This window comes from Homo sapiens, chromosome 19, assembly GCF_000001405.40.
Source record: "Homo sapiens chromosome 19, GRCh38.p14 Primary Assembly".
Classification (NCBI taxonomy): domain Eukaryota; kingdom Metazoa; phylum Chordata; class Mammalia; order Primates; family Hominidae; genus Homo; species Homo sapiens.
In genome coordinates this window covers 57,938,833-57,957,483 of record NC_000019.10, presented here as the reverse complement: position 1 = coordinate 57,957,483, position 18,651 = coordinate 57,938,833, and the positions used below count along the sequence as shown (strand labels likewise).

The 18,651-nt window shown below is 48.5% G+C and overlaps 1 protein-coding gene and 1 pseudogene across 2 annotated transcripts, besides 4 other annotated features; both read left to right on the top strand.

The window, feature by feature from the left end:
- Positions 2,365 to 2,532: a silencer, noted in NCBI's record as "fragment chr19:58466320-58466487 (GRCh37/hg19 assembly coordinates)". NCBI's record gives its function as "represses an EF-1alpha promoter that drives an FKBP-Casp9 reporter gene in an ReSE screen in HepG2 liver carcinoma cells {active_cell/tissue: HepG2}" and the evidence as "EXISTENCE:reporter gene assay evidence [ECO:0000049][PMID:32094911]".
- RPL19P19 (ribosomal protein L19 pseudogene 19) lies at positions 3,689 to 4,397 on the top strand (annotated as a pseudogene).
- Positions 9,540 to 9,629: an enhancer, noted in NCBI's record as "active region_15174". NCBI's record gives its function as "activates an Ori minimal core promoter by ATAC-STARR-seq in GM12878 lymphoblastoid cells {active_cell/tissue: GM12878}" and the evidence as "EXISTENCE:reporter gene assay evidence [ECO:0000049][PMID:35858748]".
- Positions 9,700 to 9,799: an enhancer, noted in NCBI's record as "active region_15173". NCBI's record gives its function as "activates an Ori minimal core promoter by ATAC-STARR-seq in GM12878 lymphoblastoid cells {active_cell/tissue: GM12878}" and the evidence as "EXISTENCE:reporter gene assay evidence [ECO:0000049][PMID:35858748]".
- Positions 9,778 to 16,651, top strand: ZNF256 (zinc finger protein 256). 2 transcript variants are annotated; one of them, NM_005773.3, is made up of 3 exons: positions 9,778 to 10,042; positions 13,424 to 13,550; positions 14,837 to 16,651. In NM_005773.3, the coding sequence occupies exons 1-3, from the start codon at positions 10,010 to 10,012 to the stop codon at positions 16,558 to 16,560; spliced, it is 1,884 nt and encodes a 627-aa protein (NP_005764.2). In that variant the 5' UTR covers positions 9,778 to 10,009; the 3' UTR covers positions 16,561 to 16,651. The 2 variants fall into 2 exon arrangements, with proteins under 2 accessions (NP_005764.2, NP_001362332.1); NM_001375403.1 differs by lacking the exon at positions 13,424 to 13,550.
- Positions 10,290 to 10,369: an enhancer, noted in NCBI's record as "active region_15172". NCBI's record gives its function as "activates an Ori minimal core promoter by ATAC-STARR-seq in GM12878 lymphoblastoid cells {active_cell/tissue: GM12878}" and the evidence as "EXISTENCE:reporter gene assay evidence [ECO:0000049][PMID:35858748]".
- Positions 16,652 to 18,651: the final 2,000 nt, after the last annotated feature.

The window sequence follows — 18,651 nt, the reverse complement described above, 5'->3', positions numbered from 1 at the left end:
GCCAGAAGGTGGAAACAACCCAAATGTCCATTAACCAACAAATGGATAAACAAAATGTGGTCTATCTGTACAATTAAATATTTTTCAGCAACAAAAAAGAATGAAGTCACTCTGGGAGGCCAAGGGGGCAGATCATGAGGTCAGGGGATCGAGGCCATCCTGGCCAACATGGTGAAACCCCGTCTCTACTAAAAATACAAAAATTTAGCTGGGCGTGGTGGCGGATGCCTGTGATCCCAGCTACTCATGAGACTGAGGCAGGAGAATGGCGTGAACCCGGGAGGCGGAGTTTGCAGTGAGTCGAGATCGCACCACTGCACTCCAGCCTGGGCTACAGACCGAGGCTGTCTCAAAAAAAAAAAAAAAAGAAAAAGAAAAGAAAAAGAAAAAAGAGTGAAGTTCTTACGCACACTACAATATAAACAAACTGAAAAACATTATGCTAAGAGCAAGAAGCCAGACACATATTGTGTGATTCTGTTCTTTAAAAATGGCCAGAATAGGAAACTGTATAGATGCAGAAAGTAGATTGGTGGTTCCAGGAGCTGGGGCAGCAGGAGGGGGAAGACTGCTTGTGGGTACGAGGTTTCTTTATGGGGAATGAAAATGTTAGAGGCTGGGCACAGTGGCTCATGCCTGTAATCCCAGCACTTTAGGAGGCTGAGGCAGGTGAATCACTTGAGCTCAGGAGTTTGAGAACAGCCTGGGCAACATGGCAAAACCCCGTCTCACAAAAAGTACAAAAATTAGTGGGGCATAGTGGCATGAGCCTGTAGTCTCAGCTACTTGGGAGGCTGAGGTGAGAGAGGATGACTTGAGCCCAGGAGGTGGAGGTTGCAGTGAGCCAAGATTGTGCCACTGCCCTCCAGCCTGGGCAACAGAGCCAGACTCGGTCTTAAAAAAAAAAAAAAAAAAAAGAAGAAAAGAAAAAAGAAAATGTTAGAAAATTTGATAGTGGTGATGGTTGTAAACTTTGTGAATATACAAAAAGCACTAAATTGCATATTTTATTATTTTTTATTTTTTTGAGACAGAGTCTCCCTCACTCTGTCACCCAGGCTGGAGTGCAGTGGCACGATCTCGACTCACTGCAACCTCTGCCTTCCAGGTTCTGTTTTTTTGGTTTTTTTTGAGACGGAGTCTCGCTCTGTTGCCCAGGCTGGAGTGCAGTGGCGCGATCTCAGCTCACTGCAAGCTCCGCCTCCCGGGTTCACACCATTCTCCTGCCTCAGCCTCCTGAGTAGCTGGGACTACTGGCGCCTGCCACCATGCCTGGCTAATTCTTTTGTATTTTTAGTAGAGATGGGGTTTCATCGTGTTCGCCAGGATGGTCTCGATCTCCTGACCTCATGATCCTCCCACCTCAGCCTCCCAAAGTGCTGGGATTACAGGCGTGAGCCACGATGCCTGGCCCTCTGCCTTCCAGGTTCAAGCAATTCTCCTGCCTCAGCCTCCCAAGTAGCTGGGATTACAGGCATCCACCACCAGGCCCAGCTAATTTTTATATTTTTAGTGGAGACAGGGTTTCACCACATTGGCCAGTCTGGTCTTGAACTCCTGACCTCAAGTGATCTGCCCACCTCAGCCTCCCAAAGTGCTGGGATTACAGATGTGAGCCACCACTCCTGGCCTGAACTGCATACTTTAAAAGAGTGAACTTTGCACTAAATGAAATAAATCTCAGTCAAGCTGTTAAAAAAAAAACATTAGCCTGGGCCGGGCATGGTAACTCACGCTTGTAATCCCAGCACTTTGGGAGGCTGAAGAGGGTGGATCACGAGGTCAGGAAATCGAGACCATCCTGGCCAACATGGTGAAACCCTGTCGCTACTAAAAATACAAAAAATTAGCTGGGCGTGGTGGTGGGCACCTGTAGTCCCAGCTACTCAGGAGGCTGAGGCAGGAGAATCGCTTGAACCCGGGAGGCAGAGATTACAGTGAGCCGAGATCGAGCCACTGCACTCCAGCCTGGTGACAGAGTGAGACTCCGTCTCAAAAAAAAAAACAAAAAAAAAACCACAAAAAAATTAGTCTATGTTGAGGATGAACTGAACTCAGACTCAGGTCTTCTAACCCTTCCTTTCAGTTTCCATCTTTCCTAAATTAAATTTTAAAAATTAGAACAGACAATGTGAGAAGGCAAAAGTCAGTGTGTATATTAGAAATTGGGACAGTGCAAAGCATTTCTCAAGCCGACAGCTTGGTCCTGCCTGCACAGTGCAGCCAGTAGGAATCACACATGGGATGGGCAGCCCCGGGGGCACAGGACAGAGCGGCCAGGGCACTGTACCAAGGCACAACTCCCAGGTCCTGGACAGGCCTCCATGTCCCTCCCTGCAACTTCAATCCTTGAGGCAAGAGCCATGCCCAGCCCTTGAGGCTCTGAGATCAAATCCTAACTAGGGAGACACTAGCCTGCAAGACTGCAGTTTTAGTTAGCTTGTCTGCCACAGATTGTGTGGCCTAAACAACAAACATGTATTTCCGACAGTTCTGGGAGTTGTAAGTCTAGGATCAGGGTGCCAGTATGGCTGGGTTCTCCTGAGCACCATTATTCCTGAGAGAGAGAGGAAGCTCTTTTCTGTCTCGTCTTGTAAGGGCACTAATCCCATGCATGAGGGCTCTATCCTCATGACCTAATCACCTCCAGAAGGCCTGTTTCTAAATACCATCACATCAGGACACATGAATTGATGGCGGGGAGTTGGGGGGGGATACGTTCAATCCATAGCAACTGCTTTTAAAAACATTTTACTATGCCACAAATATTTGTTGGGCAGCATGTTCCTATGATTGACAATGTGGCAAAGCATGTGTGGATATTTCTCAGCAAAGATCGCGACTTCTAGGGAACCTCTCTAGAAGGCACAGTGTGTTTTAGGGGAGACACCAACCCCAAGAATGTCTCTGCCAGTGCCACCTGGTTTTGCCCACAATTCAAAGCTTTCCTGGGAGCCGGATGAGGGGCAATGGAACCAGCAGATGCAGGGGTAAAATCTATTCCTTCATTGATAATTCTCAGAGCAATTCTATTCCAGGGTCCTAAATCAGATGAGGTGCCCAGGCTGGGCATGGTGGCTCATGCCTGTAATCCCAGCACTTTGGGAGGCAGAGGTGGGCGGATCACCTGAGCTCAGGAGTTCCAGATGAGCAGCCCAGAGAGAGGGAAGACAGGGAGGAGCCTCCTGCATGCCTTGGTGGCTCTGGAATCCACCAGGGACTATAGACTGTGCATGGTCCTCCAGGCAGTGGTAGCCAGCATGGTTCATGCTCCAGTTCTAGTTCTGCTGGGAACATGCCATGCCATACCTAGCCTCCAGCGTGGACAGACTGGGCTGCTTTGTAGCAAATATCAAGTGAACAAGGAAGGGAAGAACATGGATCTTCGTGGGCAGATGTCTATTAGCAAAAACTGCAATGGGAGGCAGAATTATAAGATGGCCCCAAGATTCTCACCCCTCAGTGCACTCAGTTGCCTAATTTCCTTCCATTGAGTGGGGGCTGTGAATCTGACAGACGTCACTCTTGTGATTAGGCCAAGGCAATAAGATACTCCCCCCCTTCACTGTTCTATAAGACTGCCTCAGCACACGGGAGCGAGATCCTCCTGCTGTGAGAGGGCCACGCCACGGGCCCCTAGCAGTTGAGATGGCCCCCAGCAACAGCCGACAAGAAACTGGGAACCTCAGAGCTCTTTCCTTTAGCTGCTGCTGCAGCCGAAGCCATGAGTATGCGCAGGCTTCAGAAGAGGCTCACCTCTCATGTCCTTTGCTGTGGCAAGGAGAAGGTCTAATTGCACTCCAAGGAGACCAGTGAAATCACCAATGCCACCTCCCATCAGCAGATCCAGAAGCTGATCAAAGATAGGCTGAACATCCACAAGCCTGTGACTGTCCATTTCCGGGCTCGATGCTGGAAAAATGCCTTGGCCTGCTGGAAGGGTGAGTACATGGACATAGGTAAGCTAAAGGGTATGGCCAATGCCTGAATGCCAGAGAAGGTAACTTGGATGAGGAGAATGAGGATTCTGCACGGGCTGCTCAGAAGATCCCATGAAGTTAAGAAGATTGACCACCAAATGTATCCCAGCTTGTACCTGAAGGTGAAAGCAAATGTGTTCAAAACAAGCAGATTCTCATGGAGCACATCCTCATGGAGCACGTCCACGAGCTGAAGGCAGAAAAGGCCCAAAAGAAGCTCCTGGCTGCCCAGGCTGAGGCCCACAGGTCTGAGAACAAGCAAGCACACAAGTGGCTGAAGAGTACACTCAGGCCAAGAAGGAGGTGATATCAAGACTTTGTCCAAGGAGGAAGAGAGAAGCAATAAAAGCTCCCCCTTTCTTGTCTGTACATACTGGCCTCCGTGATTACATAGATCAGCCATTAAAATAAAACAAGACGGCCGGGCACAGTGGCTCACGCCTGTGATCCCAGCACTTTGGAAGGCTGAGGCGGGCGGATCACGAGGTCAGGAGTTTGAGACCAGCCTGACCAACACTGAGGAACCCCATCTCTATTAAAAACACAAAAATTAGCCAGGCTTGGTGGTGCATGCCTGTAATCCCAGCTACTCAGGAGGCTGAAGCAGGAGAATGTCTTGAACCCAGGAGGCGGAGGTTGCAGTGAGCAGAGATCGCCCCATTGCACTCCAGCCTGGGCAACAAGAGCAAAACTCCATCTCAAAAAAAAAAAAAAAAAAAAGCAGGAACCTTATTCTTGCAACAAGACACTGAATTTTGCCAACAACTATGTGAGTTTGAAAGAAGGCTCCGAGCCTTGGAAGAAATTGCAGGCTTGGTCAACACCTTGATTATAGCCTTGTGAGAGTCAGGCTCTCAGAAGACCAAGATACTCGGCTAAGCTATCTTTAGGCAATTGTGAGATAATAAGTGGGTATTGTTTTAAACCAATAGCTTTGCGGTAACTTATTACACAAGAGTAGAAAACTAATACACCTGCTTGGTCAGGCACAGTGGCTCACACCTGTAATCCCAGCACTTTGGGAGGCTGAGGTGGGCAGATCACTTGAACTCAGGAGTTTGAGACCAGCCTGGGCAACATAGACCCCCATCTCTACAAAAAAAATACAAAACTTAGCCAGGCATAGTGTGCACCTGTAGTCCCAGCTACTCTGGAGGCTGAGATGGAAGGATCGCTTGAGCTCAGGTGGTTGAGGTTGTACTGAGCTTTGACTGCACCACTGCACTCCAGCCTGGGTGACAGAGTGAGACCCTGTCTCAAAAAAAAAAAAAAAAAAAAAAAAGAATGAAAAGAAAAGAAAGTCATAGAGCTGGAATCACACTATGTAGCCTTTTCAGAATGGCTTCTTTGCTTATTAATACACATTGAAATTTCCTCCATGTCTCTGACAAAGATTTTTCACATCCTACTTTATGATAGTACATAAATAATAGAAAACAACATTTTGTTTTGTATTAGGAAAATAAACATGTATTGATTTGAGATTTGGTGGGTTTTCCCCCCAGTCGAAACTCAAAAATCCTGCAGATTTAGCAAATTTAGAAGGGATCCCTATTAATTGTGTGAAAGTTGATCATATGAATTGGGTCATTCTTGTCATACCCACCTAAAACAGAGTTGAAAGAGCTGTGGGAAAAAAAGCACTCAGGGCATATAACCCTGATCCAAAAATGTAATTCTCCAGAAGCCTGGCTGCTGAAACTCCCTGCTGTAACTTGAAACAAGTTTTATTTAATGGCTGCTGACAGGACACACTGCAACTCTAAAACTAGTTTTGTAACTGAACAGCCTGGCCTGAAAAAGTTTTTTTCCTTTTTCTCATTTTTCCCTAGTCTTGTGATATAACCTTGAACCTTACTGCAGAATCTTTTCTTCTCATTAGTCTTAAAATACAGCCTTGAAATGTACTTTCTTTGAAATACCATGTCCACCGCTTCTCACCATACACTCCCTTAGACCATGCACATTTGTCTAATTGTATGCTAGTATCTAATTATGTGCTTACTTAGAAGTTCCTGGGGATAATCTTGAGACAGACTTGGTAGGCATAGGGACCTATCTGCAAAATTCCAGAGATTACTTCAAGGCAGTTAGTCAACCACCAGGCCATTACTGAGATGCAGCTAGCCCACACTCCAGGTGGACCATGGCTTGAGACAGCCACCAGAACAAGACACGCAGACCTAGTACTCAGCACCCCTCCTGCACACCTCCCAGTCCAAGTTCACATCCTTGGACTCAAAAACTCCGTTTTGAGCGAAACTCCGTCTCAAAAAACAAACAAAAACCAAAACAAAAGAGTTCTGTGAGACCTTCACTTTTTTCACCATCCGATATTTCCCAAACACGATTCTGCCACCATTTTTGAATGACTACATAGTCATTATAATGGCAGCAGTGGCTGATCTGGAGGGGCCGCTGTGATGATGCCGGCTGCAAATGGGGAGGCACGGCCAGGGCTGCATGCTCCGTGGAGCCCACGGGGACTGGGAACAGGTGATCCCAGTGGGAGCCTCGAGCCATACCGAGTTGTCAGGACGGGAGCCCTGTGCTCCCAGGCGCAGCTGCAGCCACCTAGTCGTGGCTCCAGACAGGGCATCCCTGCACTCTTGGGGACCTGGGAAGCACCCTTTTCCCACAGGCCCAGAAGTGCCTGCTCCCACTCCCTGGCCTCTCCCCACTCTCAGCACCTGCTCCACGGCAGAGCAAAGTTGTGGACATGTCAAGATAGCCAAACCTGGGCGCTATCACAACCCAGCCAAATGTGTGTGCCCTCGGGGCAGTGACGACATGCCAGCCCCCCACCATCTCGATTTCCTCCAGAAACTGCTTTTGAGGCTGAAACTTTGGGCACCAAGAAGCATGGGAAGGAGGCCGGGTGGTGGGAGGGGGGCGGCTGAGAGTGGCTCGGGGCAGGCCTGCGGGCAACCTTCAGCATGGACAGCCTGGGCGTCATGGACAGCATGTTGATGGCCATGAAAGGCAGACAGGTTCCTACGTGGGAAGGGGTGGGTTTTCTGTGAAACCCCACCTTCAAGCCACGAATGGCCTGAAGCCTGGAGGCCACGCTGCCAGTTCCAGGTGGAGTCTGTGACCCAGAGAGAGAAATTCCTTGACGCCTTTCGGCCAATGGTATGGTGTTTTTCCCAGGCCCGCCCATGACTGCCCATGGGCCAATCAGCATGCACTTCCTACCACCCATGGACCAATGAGCACACACTTTCTCCATTCTGAGCCCATAAAAAACCTGTAGACTCAGCCAGACTCAGACATCGGAGACTATCTGTATGCAGGTGTGAGCTACTCCCTTCAGGTTTCCTGAGGGCTGTTGGGTTGTCCAATAAAACCCTTCTCTGCCTTGCTCACCCTCCAGTTGTCTGCATAACCTCATTCTTCCTGGACGTGGGATAAGAACTTGGGGGACAAGAACTTGGGACCTAACGAACAGCAGGAGAGAAAGGGGCTGTAACACATTCCTGGCTGAGTAGCCATGCTTCTGGGCTGCATGAGTGAAAAATGGCGACTCTTCTGGAGGCCCAGACTTTGGGATTCCCCGAGCCAGAGCTGTAACACTATAGCCCTCCTGCCCTCAGCCAGCACTGGGTGGCCGCCCCCCACGATGGGAAGCAGCAGCGAGCCAGAGCAGGGCAGCGGGACTGAAAGAGCTATATCACAAACAAGCTGAAAACACACCCCACCCAAAACACACCTCCCCGCTTGCCAGGCTGCAAGCAACGGGAAGGAGAGAAGAGCTGTGGCTCTTCCGGGAGCCCAGGCCTCGAGACTCCGGAGCCAGGGCTGTGACATGCTGCAACACCCTCTTTGGGGTTCTGCTGTTCTTGGTGTCTCCGAGCTTTCCGGCGCCACCATTTTTCCCTCGTCTAGATGCTGGTGCCTGCAGCAGAAGCCGCCTGCAGTATGTCTGGTCCAGTCGCAGACTTGCAAGGAGCCGGCGCCTGTGCCAGCGCCTGGAGCTGCCCGCCCCGCCGCAGCAGCCAGCGTGCCTGGCTGTGTGCACTGGCTGGACCCTTCACTTGCTCGCTCACACACCCCTTGCGGCTCCGCGCCTGGCTCGCCCTTGGTAGGTGTGGGATCCAGGTGCAGCCTGCTGGGCCGAGTGGGTGGAACAAGCCCAGCGGGTGTGAGCAAAACTCAAGCAGAGGCGCGACCACAGAGGTTTCTGGCTGGCGAAGCGACACCCATTATTAGTAGCTTTCTGTAATTTGTATTTTACAATTCTTTTTCTGATATCGTATCAATTTTTTATGCAGAACAGCCCTATAATAATGGGGGCAAAGGGCCGGGCACAGTGGCTCACGCCTGTAATCCCAGCACTTTGGGAGGCCGAGGTGGGTGGATCACCTGAGGTCAGGAGTTCGAGACCAGCCTGGCCAATATGGCGAAACTCCGTCTCTACTAAAAATACAAATACAAAAAAAAAAAAAAAAAAAAAAGATTAGCCGGGTACGGTGGCGGGCGCCTGTAATTCCAGCTACTTGGGAAGCTGAGGCAGGAGAATCGCTTGAACCCGGGAGACAGAGGTTGTGGTGAGCCGAGATCGCACCATTGCACTCCAGCCTGGGCAACAAGAGCGTAACTAATGGGGGCAAAGATAATCATTTCAGCGTTGAGAAGAGATCTTGAATTTAAGATACACCCTACATTTGGGATTCAGAGCACCCTTTGTTCCACCTGTTAATGCTCTAGCTAGCCATCATGCCTTTTCAAAATACCATTCCTTTTGTTGTTCTCTTTCTGAGCTTGATGTCAAATTATTAAAAAGAAGTGAATATAAAGGCATGGAGAAAGTGAGATTAGATTCATGCAAGTGTTGCTTAGTGAATTGGACACAATGTTTGACTACACAGGCACGAGAGGGACCCAGAGACAGGGATCTACTTATGTCCTGCTGCTGCAGGGTGCCTCCGCATCCCACCTTCATCCTCTTTGTCATGAACCTGTGTGGAGTGTTTTTTTTCTTGTCCCTAATCAAACATACAGAGACTGAGAAAACTGACTCCAGTGCTTGAGTGCATGCGTTTGAATTGCAACATAGTCTTTTTTTTTTTTTTTTTTTTTTTTTTTTTTTGAGACAGTGGCTCGCTCTTTCCCCCAGGCTGGAGTGCAGTGGCGCGATCTCGGCTCACTGCAAGCTCTGCCTCCCGGGTTCAAGCTATTTTCCTGCCTCAGCCTCCGGAGTAGCTGGGGACTACAGGCGCCCGCCACCACACCCAGCTAATTTTTCTTTTTTTTTTTTTTTTTGTGGTATTTTTTGTATTTTAGAGACGGGGTTTCGCTGAGTTAGCCAGGATGGTCTCGATCTCCTGACCTCGTGATCCGCCCGCCTCGACCTCCCAAAGTGCTGGAATTACAGGCGTGAGCCACCGCGCCCGGCCGCAACATAGTCATATTTATTTGCTTTCTCAACCAGTGGATATATTTTGTGACTGACTGACTGTATGTAATAATATGTGCATCTGGATATGTGCCTCTGGGAACACATGAAATGACACGTCTCCAAACAAACACTGGCAGACAGCAATCGGTAGAAACCTGGGTACGTCTCCTTTAAGAAAGAACGAAGCCTCGCCTCCGCCCCAACCTGGAGTGTCCATTTCCCAGCGCCCCCTACAGGGGTTTGGCCTTTACTTCCGGAAGGAGGTGGAGGCGACCCTCACTCTCCCGCCGTGCGCCTGTGGGAACATTACCCAGAATGGCCTGCGTTGGGCGACGGCGACCTTCAGCCAATGAGGCCTCCGAAAGGTGGTGTTTCCGTAAGCGCACGCGCGGTCGCGGCGGGACTTCCGTTGTCCTCCTTGTGGCGGTCGTTTTGGCATTTGTCTGGACTGATTACTTGGTAGAAAGCCCCGGAGCGCTGGGTCAGCATCATCCGTGACTGACTGAGAAGGCGCGAGAGGAGTCTTCCCCGCTGCACAGAGGCGTGGCTGAGGCTCGGCGGCGCCCAGGGTACCCAGGCCCGGCCCGGAATAAGGACATCCTCTCTGGCCCCGCTCCGCTCACAGAGTCAGATGGCGGCGGCCGAGCTGACGGCCCCGGCCCAGGTATGTGCCGCGTCCTCTGGGCCTTCCCCGCCCTCCCCACGCTAGTCCTAGCACCCCCGAGGGCGCTTGCTCGCGGCCCTGCTGCCCAGGACAGGACACGGGGGCTCGCCGGAGGGGCTCCCGTTTCCAACACCTGGTGTGCTAGGGAAGGGAGGGCGCGACTGGCAAGGAGCCCCTGATGAGAGGCGCCACTGAGCCCTGGGGCACAGAGGTGACACAGCCATTGCGAGGGCACCCGGCTCCAAGGCCAGGCATGGGGCTACGGGGTGGCTTGAGCCCATCTAATACCGCCATAGATGCTCTTCTCTGAGGCCTGGCTCTTTCTACGTTTCCCTTGGCTGTAAAGGGTTATGAAATCTACGCCAGGAAGGGGAGGGTTTCCCAGTCTCTCACTAGCCCTAACTCCCACCCACAGGTTCTCTGGGTTGTGGAGTGCCATTCCCCCAGCCCTTAGTTCTGAAGACCTTGGGTGAACCCCAAGCCCAGGGTCCTATGTCCATGTTAGCCGGTATATAGAGTTGTTCCAATTTCTGGCAGCCATGTGAACGGGTGTGGAAAGTTTTTCCAGAAAGGTACAAGATGTGCAAATGCTTAGGTGCAGTACGGAGCTGGGTGCATTTATGAAGCCACAAGTCTCCTTGCTTTCTGGTGGGAAGCAAAGAACAGGAGGATAGGCGTCAGGACTGCAGTGGCTGCCTGAGAAGTTGAGTGTGTTTTCAGGAGGTAATAGCAAGTTTGAATCAGAAAAAAGAGGTAATTTACCAAGGTCTTCACAGGCTTCATCTGTGTGCACAGTGGGGCACAAACTGGGGGGTTGAGGGAGGAGGAAGGAAAATCAGGGTAGACTAGTCCAAGTGAGGGTTACTGGCCCAGGATCGTGATTTAGGAGATGTGGTTAGATTCCGGATGTGTGGTTTCAAAAGGGACAACTAAATTACATAATGTAGGTGGTGAGGGAGTGAAACAGAGGGTTCAGAGAAGACTCCAGGGTTTTTGGTATTAGCAGCTGTAGGGAAAGAAGTTTCATCAACTAAGATGAACAAATTGGCAATAGGAGTAATATTCACTAGGGATATCAGGTTTGTTTATGCCATGCTAAGAGTCAGATCTTTCAGAGCCTACTAAATGGAGGCGTTAAGTGGGCAGATGAACGTGCCGGTCTTGAAATCTAGGGAGTGGTTCAGGGTGCAGATATTCAAGATGTGGCTGTTGTGCGCACCAAGGTTAGTGAGCTGTGGGTCACAGTTAGGCGGGGCAAGCTCCAGGTTTTGGTTGTAAAGCTGTTAGTGGGCCAAGACTGGGAGGATGATGATAGAGTAAGTGGTCATGAAGGCAAGGTATGTAAAAGACAGTGTAGTTTGGCAGTGGCCACGGCTCCCAAGAGAAGAATGGACATGAGATGGATGCAAACGCATAGGACACTCAGGCCAAAACTCGTGCTTATTCACCACTTTATGGGTATCCAGGATTTTGTGATAACTTGATGGGGCCTGGGTGTTTCATTCAGGCTGGAAGATTAAGTTAGTGTCATGTGGTCATTTGTGAGAGTCATTGTGTGTGAGATGAACGACCAGTGAGGCTGGGATTTAAATGAGCTTTAGGTGGATATATGACTCTCAAGGGGATGGTAAGTGCAGCACAGAAGTGGAATAGGGCCATGGTTATCTGTGATTCACCTGTGGTTCTGTGTGGCTATGTCTGAGGCAAGGAATACAGCCTGGCAGGGAGGCCTTCAAAGAAATTTTTGAGGCTGCTTCCACTAGTGTAAGCTGTGGGAAGTCTGGGATTTTGGATCCTGTTTATATCCACACTCTGGATGCTGCCTGCCAAGTTGCGGTATAAGGCCGGAAATTAAGGCCCAGTATGATATGTCGCCTTGACATCTGATGAAAACGATACAGCCTTAGATGGCCTGAGAACAAATTCCCCTTCCCACTTTGCTCCCATGAATAAGCTCTCTTAGCCAAATGAACCCTTCTTATCCATTCTTATCCAGGGAACCAGAACAGTTCCTGCTTATTACTTTGTAGTGGGTTTCAGTTCCCTATCAATTTTTTGAGTTATTCAAACAAGCCAGTCCCCTCCTCTGGGGACCAGTGGAGCTTCTCCATCTTGATGCTACAAAACTTACATTCTACAGCACCTGGTTGTTACTCTTTTCTGGAGTACTACCTCCGTATGGCCCTGTGTGGAGTGTGGTATTCTTTCACAGGCTATGAGTATTTGTCTTTAATTAATAAGCTGTTCAGCCAGGCGTGGTGGCTCACGCCTGTAATCCCAGCACTTTGGGAGGCCGAGGCGGGCAGCTCACAAGGTCAGGAGATCAAGACCATCCTGGCTAACACGGTGAAACCCCTTCTCTACTAAAAATATAAAAAATTAGCCAGGCGTGATGGCGGGTGCCTGTAGTCCCAGCTACTTGGGAGGCTAAGGTAGGAGAATGGCATGAACCCAGGAGGTGGAGCTTGCCCCACTGCACTCCAGCCTGGGCGACAGAGCAAGATTTCGTCTCAAAAAAAAAAAAAAAATTAATAAACTGTTGATCTCATTTGTCCAATGTCACGTGTCTTATATTTGGCTGTTGGTTATCCACTCTTTTTTTTTGTTCTTTGAGACGCAGTCTCGCTGTGTCACCACGCTGGAGTGCAGTGGCGTGATCTCGGCTCATTGCAACCTCCACCTCTCCACCTCCTGGGTTCTAGTGATTCTCCTGCCTCAGCCTCCTGAGTAGCTGGTACTACAGCCGTGTGCCACCACGCCTGGCTGATCTTTTGTATTTTTAGTAGAGATGGGGTTTCACCCTGTTAGCCAGGATGGTCTCCATCTCTTGACCTCGTGATCCGCCCACCTCGGCCTCCCAAAGTGCTGGGATTACAGGCATGAGCCACTGCACCCGGCCCAGGTTATCTACTCTTTCACTCAGGTAGCATGTGGGGAAGCCAGGATTTGCCTGTGGTATAGGACGTAGTGGTGGTCATGGTCATGTGGCAGTGGGATCTGGAGACCTGAGGTATGTGCAGTGTAATGAATGATATGCACTTGGAGAGGGAGTGTGCCTGATGGCCCCAGTGTCCTGATTGAGACTTACATGACCTTGGTCATATGAGAGGAATGCTTGTCAGGAAGGAGTGGTTGCCCTTATGCCACGCCCACAGCTTAGATACATGTATTTGTTCACCTGCCTCTTGTTACTGATGGCTGCAACCAGTGACCAAGAGCCCCATTAGGAGACAACAGCACCAGCTGACTGCTTTCTCCTCTGAGCTGGGGAGCTTGGAGAGCTTGGAAAGAGGATGAGCATGGGGTAAATGTGTGAGGGGAAGGATTATGGATCCTGAGAGGAGGAACCGTTTGTGGTTTCATGTGTCCCCATCCTGGCAGGGCATTGTGACCTTTGAGGACGTGGCTGTTTACTTCTCCTGGAAGGAGTGGGGTCTTCTTGATGAGGCTCAGAAATGCCTGTACCACGATGTGATGCTGGAGAACTTGACACTTACAACCTCCCTGGGTAAGGTCCTCACACCCACCTCTATGCCCCGAGCTAGCCTTTGCTCTTACCCTTTCCCCAGAGTCAGATGTGTCTTCACAAGAGGACTATTGACACAGCTTCCTGTTCCTGGGCAGGTGCTGCGGTTGGTAGGGCTAAGGTTGTATGTTGCCTGCTTTTCTCCTTGAGCAAGCAACACCTGCTTCCCTTTCATGTGGAAAGATTCAGAGTTAGGCTTCTTATAGTCGGCCTCATGGATCTCACCTCGTTTGCCTCTCCTGGCCAGGTGACATTGTCCAGATTCGAGGCTCCTCAAGGCCCAGGTTCTACTTCCTTCCTCTAGGGGACACTTCCTCATGCCTGCCTCTGCCAGCAATTATCATCACTGACATTGTCACCACTTATGTGGACTACGAGTGGCTCTTGCAAAATCCTCCTCTGAATTTCTCCTTGTATTATTATTTTTTTTCCTGTAGGCTATCATGTGCAGAGTCATTCTGGGCTGGTCTTGGGTGCTTGCATATTCCAAGTTCCGTGTTCTTGATTGTAGGGGTCAGATGGACAGGCCCTGTGGTTCTGAGGATGGCTGTGATTCCCCACAGCAAGATGGACTCAGAGGGAGCCTGGCCCTAGGGACTAACACCTAAAGGAGGACATTCTATAAGGGTTATGTTCACATCATACCAGAAACATATCCTGTTTGACTAATATTTTGGTGCTAATGACATTTGGGGCCAAACCTCATTACTGCCTTTTCTTTCCCATTCTTGATACTTAGCTTGCTTGTCAGCTGTCCACCTGGTTACTACGTCTCTTACTTCCAGCCTGGGGTTAATCCCCACATCTCTGGACTCCATGTTTCACCCATTTTTCTCACTGCCTTATCTGCAGTGCTCTTCAGTGTTGGCCTCTACATAATATGTTATGAGGTGTCCACGTATGTCAGCCGCTATTTTGTTGTCACATTTTCTTGGGCCTGGACACATACCTGTACACAATGCATGTGTTAGCAGGACAGCAGATCTCACTGAAAATTGTTCTAGAGGAATGAGTTGTATATCCTGCCTCTTCTCCATGTTTCTCATCCCATGGCTGTGTTTTTTAACTCATGAGCCCTTCCCAGTTCTGTGATCTTTAGAGGCCCAGTTCTGCTAGGCAGCCCTATCTTCAACTTGAACCCAACACCTTGGTCCTGAAAACAACCCCATGGACTCAGTTCCTGGGTTTGTTGGATGCACATTTGTCTGTGGGCTACCTCCACTCCACTAAAGTCAGCATGCTCTTCACCAGCATTTTCTTTCTTTCAGGTGGTTCTGGAGCAGGGGATGAGGAGGCACCTTATCAGCAGAGCACTTCTCCACAGCGGGTGTCACAGGTTAGGATTCCTAAGGCCCTTCCTTCTCCCCAGAAGACCAACCCCTGTGAGATATGTGGCCCAGTCTTGAGACAGATTTTGCACTTGGTTGAACACCAAGGAACACACCATGGTCAGAAACTGTATACAGACGGGGCATGTAGGAAACAATTACAATTTACTGCATACCTTCATCAGCACCAGAAGCAGCATGTTGGACAGAAACACTTCAGAAGCAATGGGGGCAGAGACATGTTTTTGAGCAGCTGCACATTTGAAGTATCTGGGAAGCCCTTCACTTGCAAGGAGGTTGGGAAGGATTTCCTGGTGAGATCAAGATTTCTTCAGCAACAGGCTGCTCACACCAGAAAGAAGTCAAACAGAACCAAGAGTGCAGTGGCCTTTCACAGTGTAAAAAATCATTACAACTGGGGAGAATGTGTGAAAGCTTTCAGCTACAAACATGTACGTGTTCAGCACCAGGGAGACCTCATTAGGGAAAGATCTTACATGTGCAGTGAATGTGGGAAATCTTTTAGCACAAGCTGTAGCCTCAGTGATCATTTGAGAGTTCACACTTCAGAAAAGCCTTATACATGTGGAGAATGTGGGAAATCCTATAGGCAAAGCTCTAGCCTTATTACGCACCGAAGAATTCACACTGGAGTAAGACCTCATCAATGTGATGAATGTGGAAAATTATTTAACAGGAAGTATGACCTTCTTATACATCAGAGAGTTCATACTGGAGAAAGGCCTTACAAGTGCAGTGAATGTGGGAAATCCTTTAGCCATAGCTCTAGCCTCATTACACACCAGAGAATTCATACTGGAATGAGGCCTTATGAGTGCAGTGAATGTGGGAAATCTTTTATCCATAGTTCTAGCCTTATTACACACCAGAGAGTTCACACTGGTACAAGGCCTTATATGTGCAGTGAATGTGGGAAATCCTTTAGCCAGAGCTGTCACCTCATTAAACACCGGAGACTTCACATTGGAGAAGGGCCTTATGAGTGTAGTGAATGTGGGAAATTGTTTACTTATAGATCTCGTTTCTTCCAACACCAGAGAGTTCATACTGGAGTAAGATCTCATGAATGTCATGAATGTGGAAAATTATTTAGCAGGAAATTTGACCTCATTGTACATGAGAGAGTTCACACAGGAGAAAGGCCATATGAGTGCAGTGAATGTGGAAAATCCTTTACCTGTAAATCCTACCTCATCTCACACTGGAAAGTTCATACTGGAGCAAGGCCTTATGAATGTGGGGAGTGTGGGAAATCATTTACTCATAGCTCTACGCTCCTTCAACACCAGAGAGTTCACACTGGAGAAAGGCCTTATGAGTGCAATGAATGTGGGAAGTTTTTTAGCCAGAGCTCCAGCCTCATTAGACATAGGAGAAGTCACACCGGAGAAAGGCCTTATGAGTGCAGTGAGTGTTGGAAATCCTTTAGTAACCACTCTAGCCTCGTTAAACACCGAAGAGTTCATACCGGAGAAAGGCCTTATGAATGCAGTGAATGTGGAAAATCCTTTAGCCAGAGCTCTAACCTCACTAATCACCAGCGAATTCACAGTGGGGAAAGGCCTTATGAGTGTAGTGACTGTGGAAAATTTTTTACCTTCAACTCCAACCTCCTAAAACATCAGAACGTTCACAAGGGATAAAGGTTAGGTAACACACATAGGGCTGTTACGGACTGAGAAGTGTCCCTGCAAAATTCACAGACATAAATAAATAAATACGTATTTTCAATAACCATGTTTTATATTTAGTATATGTTCTCTGAATTTTGTTTTATACAAATAAGTTTATATGTGTACATACTACTTTGTCTCATATCCACACAGAAAACCAAATGGTTTCTTTTTTTAAAAAAATTCTTTGTGTTTAAATGGACAAATTATAATTGTACATGTTCCTGGAGTACATAGTGATGTTTTGATACCTATAACTTAGAGTGATCAGAGTAATTAGCATATCCATCACCTCAAACATTCGTCATTCCTTTATATTGGGAACAGTCAGTCTCAATTGCCATTCTCCTAACAACTTGAAATTATATATTATTAACTTTAGTTCTCCTGTAGTGGTATAGAACACTAGAACTTATTCCTCCTGTCTAGTTGTAATTTTGTAGCTTGTAACCAATCTTTGTCTATTCCTGCCTACCCACTACCCTTCCCAGCCTCTAGTATCCTCTGTTCTACTTTTTACTTCTAAGAGATCAACTTTTTTTTGTGGGGGTGGGGGACAGTCTTGCTTTGTCTCCCAGGCTTTTTTTTTTTTTTTTTTTTTTTTTTTTTTTGAGATGGAGTTTCACTCTTTTTGCCCAGGCTGGAGTGCAGTGGCATGATCTTGGCTCACCGCAGCCTCTGCCTCCTGGGTTCAAGCGATTCTCCTGCCTCAGCCTCCTGAGTAGCTGGGATTACAGGCATGCACCACCACCCCGGCTAATTTTGTATTTTTAGTAGAGACAGGGTTTCTCCATGTTGGTCAGGCTAGTCTTGAACTCCCGACCTCAGGTGATCCACCCGCCTCAGCCTCCCAAAGTGCTGGGATTACAGGCGTGAGCCACCGCACCCAGCTTTTTTTTTTTTTTTTTAAAGCTTCCACATATGAGTGGGAATGTGCATGTTTATGTTCCTGGCTTATTTCACTTAAATAATGTCCTCCATTTCCATCCATGTTGCCTCAGGTGATAGGATTTCATTCTGTTCTTTGAATAGTATTCCTTTGTGTGTATAAACCACATTTTCTTTATCCATTTATCTGTTGTTGGACATCTAGGTTGATTCCATATTTTGGCTATTGTGAATAGTGCTGCAGTAAACGGGGTGTAGATGTGTCTCCAATGTGATGATTTTCTTTCCTTTGGATAAATTCCCAGTAGGGGGATTGCTGGATGATATGGTAGTTGTGTTTGTAGTTTTTTGTTTTGTTTTGTTTTGTTTTTTGAGACAGAGTCTCACTCTGTTATCCAGGCTGGAGTGCAGTGGTGTGATCTTGGCTCACTGCAACCTCCGCCTCCCAGGTTCAAGCAATTCTCCTGCCTCAGCCTCCTGAGTAGCTGGGATTACAGGTGCGTGCCACCACCCCTGCTAATTTTTGTATTTTTAGAAGAGACGGGGTTTCACCATGTTGGTTAGGGTGTTCTCGAACTCCTGACCTCGTGATCCGCCTGCCTCAGCCTCCCAAAGTGCTGGGATTACAGGCGTGAGCCATCGCGCCTGGCATATTTGTAGTTTTTAGAGGGACCTCAATACTGTTCTCCATAATGGCTGTACTGGTTTGCATTTGCACCACCAGTGCATGAGTTCCCTTTTCTTGTATTTTGTTGGGTTTTTTTTTTTTTTTGAGATGGAGTCTTTCTCTGTCGCCCAGGCTGGAGTGCAGTGGCATGATCTTGGCTCACTGCAACCTCCGTCTCCCGGGTTCAAGCTATTCTCCTGCCTCAGTCTCCTGAGTAGCTGGGATTATAGGCACGCACCACCACGCCTGGCTAATTTTTGCATTTTTAGTAGAGACAGGGTTTCACCACGTTGGTCAGGCAGTCTCGAACTCCTGACCTCGTGATCCACCCAGCTCGGCCTCCCAAAGTGCTGGGATTACAGATGTGAGCCACCGCACCTGGCCATTAGTTCCCTTTTCTCTGCATCCTTGCCAGCGTCTGTTTTTGTCTTTTTGATAATAATTATCCTAAACGGGGAGAGTGATACCTCATTGCGGTTTTGATTTGCATTTCCCAGATAGTGATG